This window comes from Homo sapiens, chromosome 7 (assembly GCF_000001405.40).
Source record: "Homo sapiens chromosome 7, GRCh38.p14 Primary Assembly".
Classification (NCBI taxonomy): Eukaryota; Metazoa; Chordata; class Mammalia; order Primates; family Hominidae; genus Homo; species Homo sapiens.
The window spans coordinates 51,008,967-51,023,732 of record NC_000007.14 but is presented as its reverse complement, the minus strand read 5'-3'; the positions used below and the strand labels follow the sequence as shown (position 1 = coordinate 51,023,732).

General features: G+C 50.9%; 1 protein-coding gene across 21 annotated transcripts in view, besides 3 other annotated features; it reads left to right on the top strand.

The window, feature by feature from the left end:
- COBL (cordon-bleu WH2 repeat protein) overlaps positions 1-7,521 on the top strand; it is a 300,598-nt gene extending 293,077 nt beyond the window's left edge. For all 21 annotated transcript variants that reach the window (NM_001346443.2, NM_001346442.2, NM_015198.5 and 18 more), the window contains one exon: positions 6,165-7,521. In NM_001346443.2, coding sequence (NP_001333372.1) covers positions 6,165-6,182 — 18 coding nt within the window. In that variant the 3' untranslated portion in view covers positions 6,183-7,521. The remainder of the gene's footprint in view (positions 1-6,164) is intronic.
- Positions 10,351-10,851: an enhancer, noted in NCBI's record as "H3K4me1 hESC enhancer chr7:51080579-51081079 (GRCh37/hg19 assembly coordinates)". NCBI's record gives its function as "activates a minimal SCP1, AML or CMV promoter by ChIP-STARR-seq in primed H9 embryonic stem cells {active_cell/tissue: H9 hESC(primed)}" and the evidence as "EXISTENCE:reporter gene assay evidence [ECO:0000049][PMID:30033119]".
- Positions 10,852-11,352: an enhancer, noted in NCBI's record as "H3K4me1 hESC enhancer chr7:51080078-51080578 (GRCh37/hg19 assembly coordinates)". NCBI's record gives its function as "activates a minimal SCP1, AML or CMV promoter by ChIP-STARR-seq in primed H9 embryonic stem cells {active_cell/tissue: H9 hESC(primed)}" and the evidence as "EXISTENCE:reporter gene assay evidence [ECO:0000049][PMID:30033119]".
- Positions 13,552-14,053: an enhancer, noted in NCBI's record as "H3K4me1 hESC enhancer chr7:51077377-51077878 (GRCh37/hg19 assembly coordinates)". NCBI's record gives its function as "activates a minimal SCP1, AML or CMV promoter by ChIP-STARR-seq in naive H9 embryonic stem cells {active_cell/tissue: H9 hESC(naive)}" and the evidence as "EXISTENCE:reporter gene assay evidence [ECO:0000049][PMID:30033119]".

Genomic DNA, 14,766 nt, shown 5'->3' with positions numbered 1-14,766 from the left:
GCTCTCCAGATCTCCCACTCAGAAGCCTCGGGGCACTGAGAATGGAGGAGGCCCCACACCCGGCCGGCAGCCTTGCTGTGAAAGGCACTGCCTGGAGGGATGAGTCCCTGTGGACACCCAGAGGTCACAACTTTGTTGCCCTGTGCAAGAACAGCCTGAGCGCCCACTGATTCGGTGGCTCTCTGAGCTCCCCAGGGGCCATTTGTGATGGCTCTTGGGTCAGCTCCCCAGAGCTTGTCCCAGTGTGAGGGTGGGGCATTCATAGCTGTGTGATGTGGCCCTGAGACATCAGCCAGCAAAGATGCTAGCCAGTCATCATTGAATGCACAGCCCACCCATGGATGCTGGGGAGAAAAGTCTCCTTACCCAGATGGCAAGGGATATGGCAAGTTTTATGCCATCTCCTCAGGATAGGGGCAATTAGAAATTACTTAAGGCTCTTTGGTTTTCTTTATGCTTTTTTATTCCTGTGGAATTTATGTGTTGATGAATGTGTGTACTTATGTAAAATGAGGGAAAAGTGAAGAAATTGGGGTGAATGGCTAAATAGGGGTCATAAAAATGAGCACAAATTCTGTTGAAGATGGCTCTTGAAGTGCAGCTCCGAGGCATCCTGTCTGCCCCACACACATGACAGCCACCGATTTCAAGGGCTGATCATCGGAAGGCTCTCTGGAGGAGTCTGAAGCAGTGCGATTGGGATCAGCTCTGTCACTCTACTGATCCCAGGGTACATTTCTGAGATTCTAAAGCTGTTTCTCAATGTAGGTCCATAGGACATCTGTATCTTGAATCACATTTTTCAGCCTATGAATCTGCAATTTTCCATTGCTATCCAAGTGACTTTACATTAAGGTTGGAGACGATTGTCTATCTCATTTGAGCCTTTCATGCATTTTGAATTGCACCGACTGGGATCCTGTGAAGGCCATGACCACACTCTGTACTCACTGCTTTATAAAAGTCATCTCAGTGACTGGTTTCTGTATCTTTTTCTTTTACCCTCTCCATCTTGTGCAGAGTCATGAAGGGCCTGGGGCCCAGAGATGCTGAAAGCTGGCCCGAGGTCCACAACCAGCAAGCGGAGGAGATAATAACATTGGGACTTTTGGCTTCTGAGAATGCGTTCCTCTGCCTTACAGAAAGGAAAAAAAAAATAAGTTTTGACTAGCCCGAAAGAACAGAGGAAGTTGTGCTGTGAGAAAGAAAGTGGGGAGAAATGCACAGGCCACGGAGAGAGAGAGGCCGGGCCTGGATGAAGCCGTGGGCGTTGGTGCCGTGCGAGGCCCAGGCATGCTTGGAGGAAAGGTCACCGTGGCTGTAAAGTGCTAGCCAGGGCGGGAGCCGGGCTTGTGTTTCTCGCACAGTCTCAGCCATCTGTCAGCTGCTTCAAAGGGCATTCAAAAGTCCAGGTTTTGATTGTTTCTTGGATTAGTCTGAGTCGTGTGGCCTGCCTTATCCACCCTGGAAAGTTCTAGGCAATTAATATTTATGTGGCATTTCTGAGGTTTTGATGCCCCGAGCCGTTTACAAGATGCTCCCGGGCTGAAAGCTGGGCCCTGAGTTCCTTGGCTGAGTCCTACGTTGGAAACCACGTTCCCCTCAGTCTCATTATCACTACCATGCCCGGTGATCCCAGAGCCTTCCTACACTTGACGCTTTATCACAGAACCACAACAAATCTGAAGAAAGCCTGCCCTAGGAGGGCAGGAATTGGGTGATCGACCTGCCCTCCTGGCCTCTGTTCAGCATTCATCAGGGAGACTCAGGTGCAGGGGGCCAAGGTGGCCTCACCTGGACCAATGATTCATTCTTTTGAAGGCATTAACCAACTGCATTTCCTAGAAGTTTGCCCTGTCTACTCATTTGTGTTGAGAGTAGACCTGTGGTCACAGGAGACATTTGCGATTTGGGAAATGAATTACAATTTTTCTAATAAGCCTGGTTAGATGGCACTTTTCTGCTATGCATGGATCCTGGAGGTTATATTGTCTTCATAGCAAATACACTTTCGTGTATATTATGGCATGCGAACATCAAATTATATGGACTTTGCCTCTTATGATTTAGTTTTATTTCACCTTTTGGACTTTTAAAGCTATGCTGGCTGGGCATAGTGGCTCACAGCTGTAATCCTAACACTTTGGGAGGCTGAGGCAAGAGGATTGCTTGAGGCCAGGAGTTTGAGACCAGTCTGGGCAACATAACAAGACCCCCATCTCTACAATACAGAAATGAGCCAGGTGTGGTGGCACGGGCCTGTAGTCCCAGCTCCTTGGGAGGTGAAGGTAGGAGGATTGTTTGAGCTCAGGAGTTCAAGGCTGTAGTGAGCTATGATCATACCACTGAGCTTGCATCAGCCTGGGTGACAAAGCAAGATCCTTTCTCTTTAAAAAATAATAAAAGAAATTTTTTTAAAAAAGTAAAATGTTAAAAGCTATGTTAACCTTGAGGAAAATACAATAAATTCAGGGGCTCCCAGTGCGTGCAGTGTTGGTTGTTTCTCCATAGGTTCTCAGTAGATGTAGAGTTTCCTGGGTCTTCTTTTGGGTGTTCAGCAACGGCTCCAGAACAGCATTGCTGGGAGCACATCCTGCAATGGAGGGGTGTCCTTGGCTTTCCCAGCAAGGCAGTGCATGAATCTGTAGGTGCTCCTCCTCCCCTTAGCAGTGCAGCCTCCTCCTTTCAATGAGGGTGCCCAGCTATGCTGGGAAGGTTTTCTGGGACAGTCGCAGGCAAATTGGGTGATTGGTCACCCAACCTGTAATACACAAATTTCACATTGGCAGTAAGCTGCCCATGATCAAATACAAAAGGGTAAATTTGATGTAGGAGGAATAATTACCTTAACAGTGACGTTGCCATTTTTCAAGGCAATTGAAATTACATTTGCCTTCACGGTGTGAATCCAATGATGTCTCTGCCTCTGTATTTGTGGCTGCCAGAGAAACTTCCAGCTGTGTTTCTCCTCCAGCTCCAAATAAGAGCATTTGCAGCTCGGCTGCATGTGCACCCACTTCCTCAGTGGAACACCCACTCCTCCTGAAGGCAGTGTTCAGATCTGCCCCCACCCCACACTCAGTGCTTGCTTCCACTCAGCCCTGCGTTCTTATTAAAGGCAAAGCTGTATGCGTCTGACTGTCTTTGTCGATCTGTTTTAAATGCATTATTTCAGAAGGCCTGGAATGTACAAGTACCCTCCTAATCCATGTGTATATTTAAAACATTCATGTCTAGTGCTTCATTCTACAAGCATTTCCGGAGAACCTACTAGGGTCCGGGCACTGTCGGAGCTGCTTGTGATAGACGAAAGAAGCTTCATCTGTGCCCTCAGGACCTCTCAGCCAGAGGAAGGGGGCAGGGGTGCGGGGTCTGCTATTGACCTTAGGAACTTTTCCAAAGAAGCTGGGACAGGCTAATCCCGATGACTTGTGGATCTTTCCTCCCAGGAGGGCAGCGGGGCAAGCATCTACCCCGACACCTTCCTGGAAGTCAAGGTCGTAGCTCCCCTTTGACAGGTGCGAAAATGGGGCACAGACATCATAAGTGACTTCTCCCAGCCCTTCCGTGTGTCCTGCTGCTGCTGGGCCCAGACACCTTATCAGCTCCTAGCCGCTTTGGGAAACGTCCTATTGAACTGAGTTCCAGTCTCTTGTCTGGGCCCTCAGGTGCCTGTTTTCCCACGGCAGGAATTAATTGATGCGGGCCACACGCGTCATGACACTTGGCCTTGACCACAGACCTTGTAAGAAATGATTAGACATGTGACAGTAACAGGAGGCCCCAAACCAGGAAAGAGAAAAAACACACCAACTCTCTTTTCATCTAAGCCCTAGGTCCTCATATGTGCATTAGAGAACTCCAAGTTGCTGTGACGAGGGAATAGCAATTTCTATCAGGATGTGAATGTGACCCACAATACAATTGCATCACCCCTGGTTTAGTTGCTCGTAATGTAAACCTGTGGTGTGCTTTGGTTAATGTGAAATTGTTCTGAGGCCTAGGGGTCAGTTCTGTCTTTGCAGACTCTTTGCGTGTGACTGTTCTGCTTATTGCAGCTCTACTGAGTCAGCTGCCTCTTCTGCAGGTAGAACGGGGAGGAGCCTCCTGGGAGAAGCACACCTACCACAGTGACCATCCTCAGGGCCAGCAAATGCTGTTCTCCACTCCTCCAGAGCTGTTCCCCACATTTGACCAGCTCATTCCTGACTCATCCCTTTGTTCCTTTATTAACCTCACGTCTTCAGAAAGCCTCCCTCAGTCTAGATTAGGTTCCCAATACAGCGTCACATAATTTTTCCTTCATAATGCAAACCACAGCTCTAATTTCTCTAGCAGTTGGTGTGGTTTTTGTTGGATGCTTGCCTTCCCTTCCACATCACAAGTTCCATGAGTCTTGCCCATCGTGTCATGTGATGGAAGGGTAGACACGCTCCCTGGTGCCTCCTTGATAAGGCCACCAATCCCTTCATGAGGTTCAACCCCCATGACCTCATCAAATTCCAGAGTCCCACCTCCTAATACCACCATCTTGGAGGTTGGGATTTCAGCATGTGAATTTGGGAGCACACAAGCATTCAGACTGTAACACTCCCCCTATTAATAAGTGGGGCCCTCAGGAAACATCTGGCTAAGTGGAGCACTGTGTTTGTACAAGTAGATCAGAGGTGTCTGATCTTTTGCCTTCCCTAGGCCACACTGGAAGACAAATTGTGTTGTACCACATATAAAAAACACTAACGATAGCTGGTGAGCTTAAAAAAAATTGCAAAAAAAATCATATATATATATATATATATATATATATATATATATATATATATATATTTTTTTTTTTTTTTGAGATGGAGTTTCTCTCTTGTTGCCCAGGCTGGAGTGCAATGGTGCGATCTCAGCTCATGCAACCTCTACCTCCCGGGTTCAAGCTATTCTCTTGCCTCAGCCTTCTGAGTAGCTGGCATTACAGGCATGTGCCATCATGCCCAGCTAATTTTTTATTTTTAGTAGAGACGGGATTTCTCCATGTTGGTCAGGCTGGTTTCGAACTCCCGACCTCAGGTGATCTGCCCGCCTTGGCCTCCCAAAGTGCTGGGATTTCAGGTGTGAGCCACTATGCCCACCCTCATAATGTTTTAAGAAAGTTGACGAATTTGTATTGGGATACATTTAAAGTGGTCCCAGGCCATGAGTTGGACAGGCTTGAAGTAGATGTTAAATCCCCACCATGGGAGTTCAGGAAGAGGGCCCGAGAGAACCTAGAGAAGAGAGGGATATGGAGGAGCATCAGGAAAAGGGCAGGTGCGCCCAGTGTCAAGACAGACCCGGGTGGTGTCGATCCTCCCAGTTCTTCTGGGCCTTGGGGCTTCACTTCCTCATCTGTAAGATTGATGCGAGGGATGTGTGAGAGAGCATGCACAGGGCAGGGTCTGCATCACCACCACCATCACCATCACCATCACCATCACCACCACCACCACCATCGTCACCACCACAGTTACCACCACCATCACCACTGCCACAACCACCGCCATCACCACCACCACGATTACCATAACCACCGTTACCACTGCCACCACCACCACAATTAACCACCATCACCACATGGAAAGTACCTAGAATACTTCCTGTGTGCTTACCATGTGCCAGACACCATTTAAAGTGTGACACAAGTCCACTCATTAAAACATCAGCTTAACCAAACAAGCAGTTTATTATTGTCATTATTATGGGTATGTCTCCAATATAAAGATGAAGAAACTGAAGTTATAGAGGGTAACTCGTCCCACATCAAATGTTAGTCACGATCCTCTCAGGCACACCTGAGCAGAGGGCAAGGCCTCAGATGCGTACCCACACAGCCCAAGAGGCAGTGTCCTCTGTCTGGACCAGGACCCCAGGGCCCACCTCCCAGTTCCCTTGACCTCGGGCCTCTGCATCCTGCTAGTCGTCCTTCCCTGGCAGCTTTTACGAGGAAGCTGGAGCGTGAGAAGGTCTGTGAGGACAGCCCTGATCACAGCCTCCTTTCTGCAGGTCAAAGGAACTGGGAAGGGGGTTCCAGGAGTACTATTGCAAGAGTGGCTGTGCACAGAGCTCTCTAGCACCAGAAGATCTGCATCCTGGGCTTATTGACATACCAAATAACTGTGAATCTCTCTTCCCTGCAGGTGCCCTTGCTCGTGTGAATGAACAGAGGCCAGAGAATTGCAGAAACCCACCTGTAATATGCCCACAGGCGTCACTCAAGGAGTCTGCATAGCCAGGAACATCAAGTTTTGGTGTTACTTTCTTGTCTACAGGCCAAATGCGCACAGTTGATTTTCGGTGTGTTCCTGTATAACGGCTTGAAAGGAAAGGAGAAGATGCTGTGTCGCTGCGCAGCTCGTGTGCCAAGGAAATGTGTTTTGCCTCTGAATATCTTAAGTTGCTAATAAACGATTCTTGTTGGCAGGTTAATGGGACTATAAATGCTGGAGCCCAGCACTCACACTTAATTATATTTATGGGCAAAGTAAAAAGAATCATGCCTTAGACTGATTTTGGACCTTTGAGACTTTTACCACATACAGATGGATGAAACTACTTACTGATTTAAGATCTTTTGAATTTTAGAAAAAACATATGAATCAGATGGAACAATCTGAATGTGATATGCTCCATGATGCTGTGTGTTTTGGTAGTAAGAAAAAAAAATTGGGAGGCTTTTCAAAGGTGGCTTTGTTAGGTAGTAAAACTGCTGGATTCTTCTTCCTCAAATATTTGGGGCTAACACTTCACAGAGGGTCACAGTCCATGATCTGACCAACTAAGCTTTTAAAAATCAACTATTACCACCCAGAAAACAGTCCTACGTGATCATGTGGCCAGGGCATGCCCGAGTCCTGCAAGGGTGGCGGGTGGCTGAGGTCACACCACCACTGGAGTGGATGGGCAGTGCCCCACATGGACAGCCATTCCCCAGGCTATGAAGTGACATAGGCCTCCCCCACGGTGCCTGTGTACGGAGCCTGATGACTTCACTGGGAGCCTTCTGGAATCCTGCAGAGGGTCAAGGAGCAGGGATGTTGGATGCCCACCTGTCAAGAGTTCAGATCAAAGTTGCGCTGAGAGCATCACAATTTTGGTTCAGCCTTGACGCGTTTGTCCAACAGCTCATTGGCTCCCTTTGTATGATATCGTGGTCTTCTCACATGGTGCCCAGTCACCAATATTTATAATGAGGTCTAACTACAGCAGTAGTTTTTCATATATATCTCTAAAACATTTTGTTATATTGAAAAAAGTAATAGAAATCAAGATGTGTTGATGAAATAAAATGTGTATCTGAGTGAGAAAACAAGTATGGTGAGGTCACTTTAATGTTTCACAGCGATCTCAGATCTAGGCCTCAGGTAGAATGGAAGCTGTTCTGCATTCACTGATTAACGTTGCTAAACTCTTGGTGAGGCACGAGCTACCAGCCAATTGCTCTTCATCACAGCTATCTGTCTTTTAGTGCCACAAATAAAAGAAAATCAAATCTTAGCTGTTGTGTGAATTTCATACTACAGTTGGTTTGGATACCCCTCTTCCAAAATGGGAAGGACGGATTCAGTTATTCAACCAACACACGTTTCTGGCTCCCTCCTGCACTCCTCCATTCCCTGGGTTACATGCAGCTGACAAACAGGCAAAAATCCCCACACTTGTGAAATTCATGTTATGTTACTATGGAGGAGACAGACCATAGATGTGATATAAGTTAGCAAAATGTTGAGTACATTTAGGCGCTGATAAGTGTAAAGAAGAAAAACCATCGGGAAAGTGGGACAAAGGAGACGGGGATGAAGAAAGGCCCAGTGAGAAGGTGACCGTTGAGTAAAACCCTGAAGGAAGTGAGGGAGCAAACTCCGGATGGACGCATGACTGGCAGCGAGAAGAGTGAGTGCAAAGGCCCTGGGGGCAGGACGCTGCCTGGGTGTTAGGGGCACAAGGAGGCCATTGTCAGGAATGGGAGGTCGAGCAGATACAATGTTGCTGGCCTGTGCCCCTGGTCTTCACATACTGCATGGTGTTCCCCTTCTCAGAGCAGCCCTGCTCCCTGGCCAGACCAAGGGGGCAGCAGACAGAAGGGGCCCAGAGGTGGGCCTCGGGAAGGACGAGAGGTTGCCCACCTCCCTAGTTCATTTTCCTTGTGAGGGGAGGGGACCCACTTTAGGCTAAATCTACTTTTGAAATTGTCTTGCCTTCTGTATCTCAAGCTGCAAGCTGCGCAGAAGCCTGGGTTTTGAAGTGTGGAATATGGAATAATGACAGCCTCTGGCCTTACTTTGGTCTTTTTGCAGAGTGTTTCATGATTATTCTTGGTTCATCTTCTCAGTGAGCCCAGGTGGTATGAAGGCAACATCTTCCAGATGAGCACACTGAAGGTCCAGACGATTAAGTACCTCAGTGATGTTCTTAGTGTTGAAACATGCTTCTGTGACTCTGGATTGCCTACAGAGTTAAGTCTAAACCACTCACCTACAGGACTCTTAGTGCCTAGATCCACACTGCCTACACACACAGACACTACCCGCATCCCACGTCCCCGGCCCCCGCCCCCATGTCCCGTATCAACATCAAGCCACCACCAAGTTCCTGAATGCACCCGGGAGCTCCTCTGTGCCCCCGTCGCATTAACATGCCAGAGATGTCAGCACCACCCCTGCCCACTCGCATAGACCAGAAGTGCCAACCCTGTCCTCGAGACGCAGTCCTCTGTGTGTCTCCGTCACAGTCAAGGTCAAGCCCTCCTTGCTGCTCCCTCTGCGCCCACGTCTGCCTCTGTTCCCTCTGCCTGACCCCCACGTTATCTTCCCATCTGGGGCTCACACCTGCCTTTCTGATTATAGCCAGGAGCCGGGGCAGCATGCAGCTCTGAACTTTCCAGGCCAAGTTCCCAGGAAAAGGCCTGGTCATGTTGGTTATCCCAGCATATTATTACTGGCATTCTCTCCTTCCCAAAATGTCCCAGTTTAGGTCATAAATCCTATGGTATTTTTATTGTCTGGCTCAGGTGAGGTATTCAGTAAATGTTCAATGAAAGGGTGAATATCCGAGGGGAAGCAGCAGGGGGAATCTGGCCTGGTCCGGACTTCACATTTTCTCCCTGCCTCTATATTACACATTACACCCAGAAGGGAGCACACGTGGGTCCTTCCAGGCCTCCCACCAGGCTGTGGAGAACCTCCCCAATGGGTCTAGTTTCCGAAACCTGCTGATTGTCCTGAGGCAGGACCTGGATCATGCCTCCTGCCCTGGTCTAGACAGGGCGGGTGCATGTGCAGTCTGCCTGAGAATCCCACACTGCCTCTTGGACACTGGTGCTGTAATGTCCTCCTGCTCTAGGCATCTCTGCGTAGCGTCAGACTATCCTTTCTGTGCTGACAGTCCCCACACTTAGCCCTGGGCAGCTTTTCACTGAAGCTCCTGATCTCAAATTTTAGTTACCTACAGAATCTCTCCCTCGCATGCCCGGCCAACTCGCAGTGCCTCGCCTGAGCAGTAGTTGCACCCTGCCCCACTGCCCGCACCAGCGGGGACGGCCTTCCTTGGTGGCCATTCAGGCAGGAGGAAGGAGGAAGCAGCTCCCCCATCTCCACGGGCATCTCCCGCAGCCATCAGGCGTCTGCTGCTTCCACTCCGTGGCCTCTCTTGTCACCGTCCTAACAGTGTGGCCTCTGACCTGTTCCCCTCTTCCTTACACTGACCTCAGAGCTAACCAAGCGCCAGAGCCTTCCCAGACCCGAGCTCACTGAGGGCAGCTCACCGTGCTCAGGTGAGGAGTCGGGGAGCGATAGGGGACCCAGTGCTGAGCCATGGGGCAAGCTGACCTTTATCATCCTGACTTCAGCGTCAGATTTCTCAACTGGTTTGGAACTTAAAAGGAACAAAAGTGTCATCACATCAGTTAACAAGGGAGAAAGAAAAGAAAAGGGGCAAAGAGAAAGACCAATACGACCACCGAACCCAAAGCCCAGCAGGGCCGTCCTCCCAGCCCGCAAGTCCACCGCTGTGTTCACCCCTTCTTATCTCGACCCTGTGGGGGACGAGGGGAGGAGGCAGACTGAGTGCATGACGCCAAGTTGGCCCTGGACAGGTCCCGTGGCAGCTCCCACTCACTTGTTTCAGGAGCCTTTCGACACACAGCGACATCACCAGAGTGCAGTTCTGAAATCTAACAAATCGGGAAGCTTCCTCCGGGATGGCGGCACGGGGAGAGCAAGGACAGGGAGGGAAGAGGGGCATCCAAGAAGGCTGCCCTTCCCTGCTTCACTCCCCACATCTTCCTGACTCCTGTGCTGTGTAAGGGAGCTTTCCAGGGCCCAAACACCTCCGCAGATTGGGTTGCAGCCATGGTTGCTCCTCGTTTGATGTACTATGTGGGGATGTGGCATCTGGGCACAGGTGTGCCTGCTCCTGTGGACTTGGATTTAGAGCACTGACTGATCCCAGCTTTTGCCCCAGACTAATGGGCTTTATTGGAGTGGAGATCTATGGATGCTTTTCTTACTCTTAAGAATTTTATTTTTTCCTATCACAAAGAACCATACTGTAACCGGGGAGGGGACTGGACTGGCTTCTGGGAGGCAGGAGGGAGGGCTGGGAAGATCCAGGCAGGGGACAGCATGCGGGATTTGGACAGTGGCTATCTAGGAAATGAGGGGAGGCTGAGCCCTGTCTGCGTGTGGCAGGGTGTGGTGTCCACTTGCTTGATTGGGAAGGAAGGGGACGGGGCAGATGGGAGGTTTCCAGCAGTCTGAGGCACCAGGCTGTACCGCTGGCCCTGACAGGGCATGGAGGCTGGGGCTGCAGTTGTCTTTGGTGTGCTGTTCTCAGGCAGATCCTCCTCAGCTCCCAGAGGCACCTCCCAAGGGGCTGAACATCAAGCATAGCAAAGCCTCCCTCTGCCACCCATCTCCTAACAGGTGCCATGGAGCTCTCCACGGGACATCTATGGCACCAGGTCCTACAAATGGGAGCCAGGGCCAACGTCACCACCCCCTTCTCTGTAGTCCAGTGCCAGGAGGCAGGCACTGGGCCCTGGCCTGATGGTGATGCCAGCAGCCAGCAGGATCCAAATAAGAGATGTGGACCTGATGGGGATGTCCCAGTGGGAGGGCCACCCGCAGCCTTGGGGTAAAGTGCTTCAGGGACTGAAGCAACCTTGCCTTTCCGTTGTCACCAAAGGTCTCCTTCCTTTCCTTCCTTCCTTTCTCTGTCTTCCTTCCTCTCCCTCCTTTGCTTCCTCTCTTTCCCTTCTTTCCACCTTCCCTTCTTCCCTTCTGTTCCTCCTCCCTTCCTTCCCTCCTTCCTTCCTTTTGTCTTTTCTTCCAACCAACACTAAGAGAGCTTCTCTAAGCCAGACCCTGTGATGAGTGCTAGGGGGAAATTACAAATTAATTTAGTCTCTGCCTTCCAATAAGCCCACTAGTAGAGGGGCCACATGGCATTGGCCAATCACGGTGAGTGAGCCTGGTGTCCCAAGAGAGGGGAGACACAGGGGAGAGGCAGGGAATTCTTCCAGAGGAGGGGCTGGGCAGAAGCTGTGAGCTGATGAGCGTGGAAGAGTCCAGTCATTCTCAGCAGGGTGAAAGAGCAGTGGCAGCCAGCCAGGCAGAGGAGCAATACCTGAAAATGTCCAGAGGCCGGGAACACATGCCAGGACCTTTCAGGGGTGTGCTCCTGGGGGAACGCAGGGTGATTCCGTGCCATGTTATTTCCACCACTGAGACAGGCCCAGGATGGAGATTGTCACCTGGAAATCCAGAAGTTTCACTGAAGATGCAAAGGTGTTCAAAGCTGAAGAGTCAGGAAGTGATGAACTTGGCTCCTGCTCATGAGTGATTAGGCCAAGCGCCCAACCGGGGCTCTGGTTAAGTAAGAACAGGGGGAAGTAGCTCCTGCAGGGCTGGCTGGAGCCCACTCTCATTCCTAAAGGAAAAAGCCATGTGTTACAGTGGTTGCACTCAATTTCCAGACCCTTCATATAGATGCAGAGACCTTGAGGAGCATAAGTGAGGTACAAAGGTGAAATTCTCAGCCCGTTGCTGTCCATGCATTGCTGTCCCACCCATGTCCTTAGCAGGGGCTCTCTGGGTCTCCTGAGGACAGGGTCGGTGGCTTCTGCCCAAGCCCCACCCTTACACACAGACCCCCTGCTTCCTCCCCTGGCATCTGGGTACCCCACACTGCAGACTGTGTGGTGGGCCAGCCCTGATGGAGAGACCCGCCCAGGAAAGCAAAGGGCTAGCAAGGCACGCGGTGAGTTGGTGGCAAGACTGTGGCTTCAGTTGGTGCCTCTCCACTCAACTTGGAAAACACCGAGCTATGTGTGTTTCCCCAGACACACCATGTGGACTCTTCCATGCTTTGCACTAGAACTCCTATTCATCCTCCAAAGCCCAGCCACGTCCCATGGGAGACCAGGCATCCTCATGCCGCTGCCCTGTGGAAGGTGGCACCTCAGGTTGCTGTGGCACCTCAGGTTGCTGTGGCCACTGCACACTAGAATCCACGGGCTTCTGTGACTTGGCACTCTGGGGCCAGGTCTCACTCACGTGGGGCCTTTAGGCCTAGGAACACAGTGCTAGCACTATATGTGTTTTATGAAGGGAACTGAGCAGGCTGCAACATGACCTGAGGCAGATTCTGATGGAGCAGAGGGCAGACGGTTCCAGACCATGGGGCCTGGCACGATGTGAGTGGAGGGGAAGGCGGATGTGCGGCACCAGAACAGGGAAGGGTCAGACAGAAGATGGCCTTGGGCTGTCAGAACTCAGCAGAAGGACCAAAGTGCCAGGGACCAACTGCCAGGGTTCCAGGAGGCTGAGAAGGGTTCAAAGAGGATGTACAAGAAGGGCTCCAAGTCGAGCATCCCCACCCCAGTCCTGTCCCAGAGCCTCTGATGGGCTCAGGAAGTCAAGGCTCCTTCCTCCCATCTGACAGCGTCATTACTAAGGAAGGCGGGGACTGATTTTTCTATTTTCCTGCACTACGCCCATTTCCTAATCTGCAGCTGGACCCCGTGGCCAGGGCAGTGGCAGTTTGGTCTCTGTTGTGGATTTCTAGAACAGCACCTCATTCCTAAGAAGTCAGCTTGAAAAGGAGTTTCCTGGCACAGGTTGTCATCATGCAGCTGCTCCCATGCCTCTACGGGGGACTGCGGGAGAAGCTGCATCCCCAGGCTGCCGCTCACCCTCTTGACCAAAGCCCAGGTGGGTCGGCCCAGCAGTGGCCCTCCCCATGCCTTGCCAAGCCTTGAGGCAGTGAAATGGATCAACCCCACAGCCCCTGCCTCAGGTAGAAAGCTCCGAAATGACCCACTCATCCCATGACTAATGAGCACATGCCCGATTGTGGGGAGAAACAGAGCCCTCATATGAGGTATCTCAGAGGACCTGGACAGACTCCAAATTGCAGTGAAGGGGGGTGGCCAGGGCGGGAGAGTGGAGTCATTGGCGGGTGTCCAGTCAAAGGGCACAGCAGGCCAAACTCCAGGCCTGGGCAGGGAGGCTGAAAGCAAGGAGAGCATCGGGAGCCGTGAGGTGGGCGCTCAGAGTGAGGGAGCAGACAAGCAGCTCGGAAGGACCTGTGAGCAGTGAGGCCGCTGGACCTCCAGGACACCCACAGCATGGAGGGAGAGTCACGGGCGCGCCAGAAAGGCTCTGGCCTGGAAATCCCATCAGAGTTTTCATCCCGAATAGTGCATGTCCTACAGCAAACGAGCCTGCCGTGAAGAGCTCCTGTCCCCAAGCTGTGATGTAGGCAGGACATTCACCACCCCAGATTGCCCTGTGGCTGGCTAGATCCTGGATGACAGAGCAAAGCAAGACCAAAGGCCGAGTGGCTGCTCACTGAAGGCTTGTTTTCCAAGTGCTGAGAACAGTGGAATTTTACAACTCCTTCCTGCCCTGAGGGTCTACCTGCCTGTGTGGCATCCTTGTCCATACTAGGGCAAGAGGGCAGGTAGCAGGAGCCACCTCTTCTTCTCCTTCTCCTCTTCTGAGTTTACTTTGCCTTTTTTTTTTTTTTTTTTGGAGACAGAGCCTTGCTCTGTCACCCAGGCTGGAGAGCAGTGGCGCAATCTCAGCTCACTGGAACCTCCGCCTCCCAGGCTCAAGCGATTCTCCTGCCTCAGCCTCCCGAGTAGCTGCATTTTTATCTTCCCTTATATAAATCAGAACCACATGAGTAGTTAACCTCAACAGGCCAGACAACTGGGATTCCTAAAAGTTCTGATGATTCAGCCAAGTGGAGTTCACAAGCCATTCCTGGGACAATGCCAAGACACTGGTCCACGCGCTCACATACGTGGTCTCCTAACATCTGCTTTCCCCATTTTATAGCTGAGCAAGAGGCCCCAAGACATGTAGTTACTTGTCCGTGGTCACACAGCTGTGTTCCCCTCACACTGGTGTGGCCCCAAATCTCACTCTCCCCTCATGGTACCCCAGGAAGTGTTTCTGTCTCAGGAGACAGAGGCACGAGGCATTTTTTTGTTTTTGTTTTTGTTTTTTTGAGACAGTGTCTTGCCCTGTAGCCCAGGCTGGAGTGCAGTGGCGCAGTCTTGGCTCATTTCAACCTCCACCTCCCGAGATCAAGAGATCTTCCCACTTCAACCTCCCAAGTAGCTAGGACCACAGGCATGTGCCACCATGCCCAGCTAATTTTTATATTTTTTGTAAAGACAACGTCTCACTACGTTTCCCAGGTTGGTCTGGAACTCCTGAGCTCAAGTGATCCACC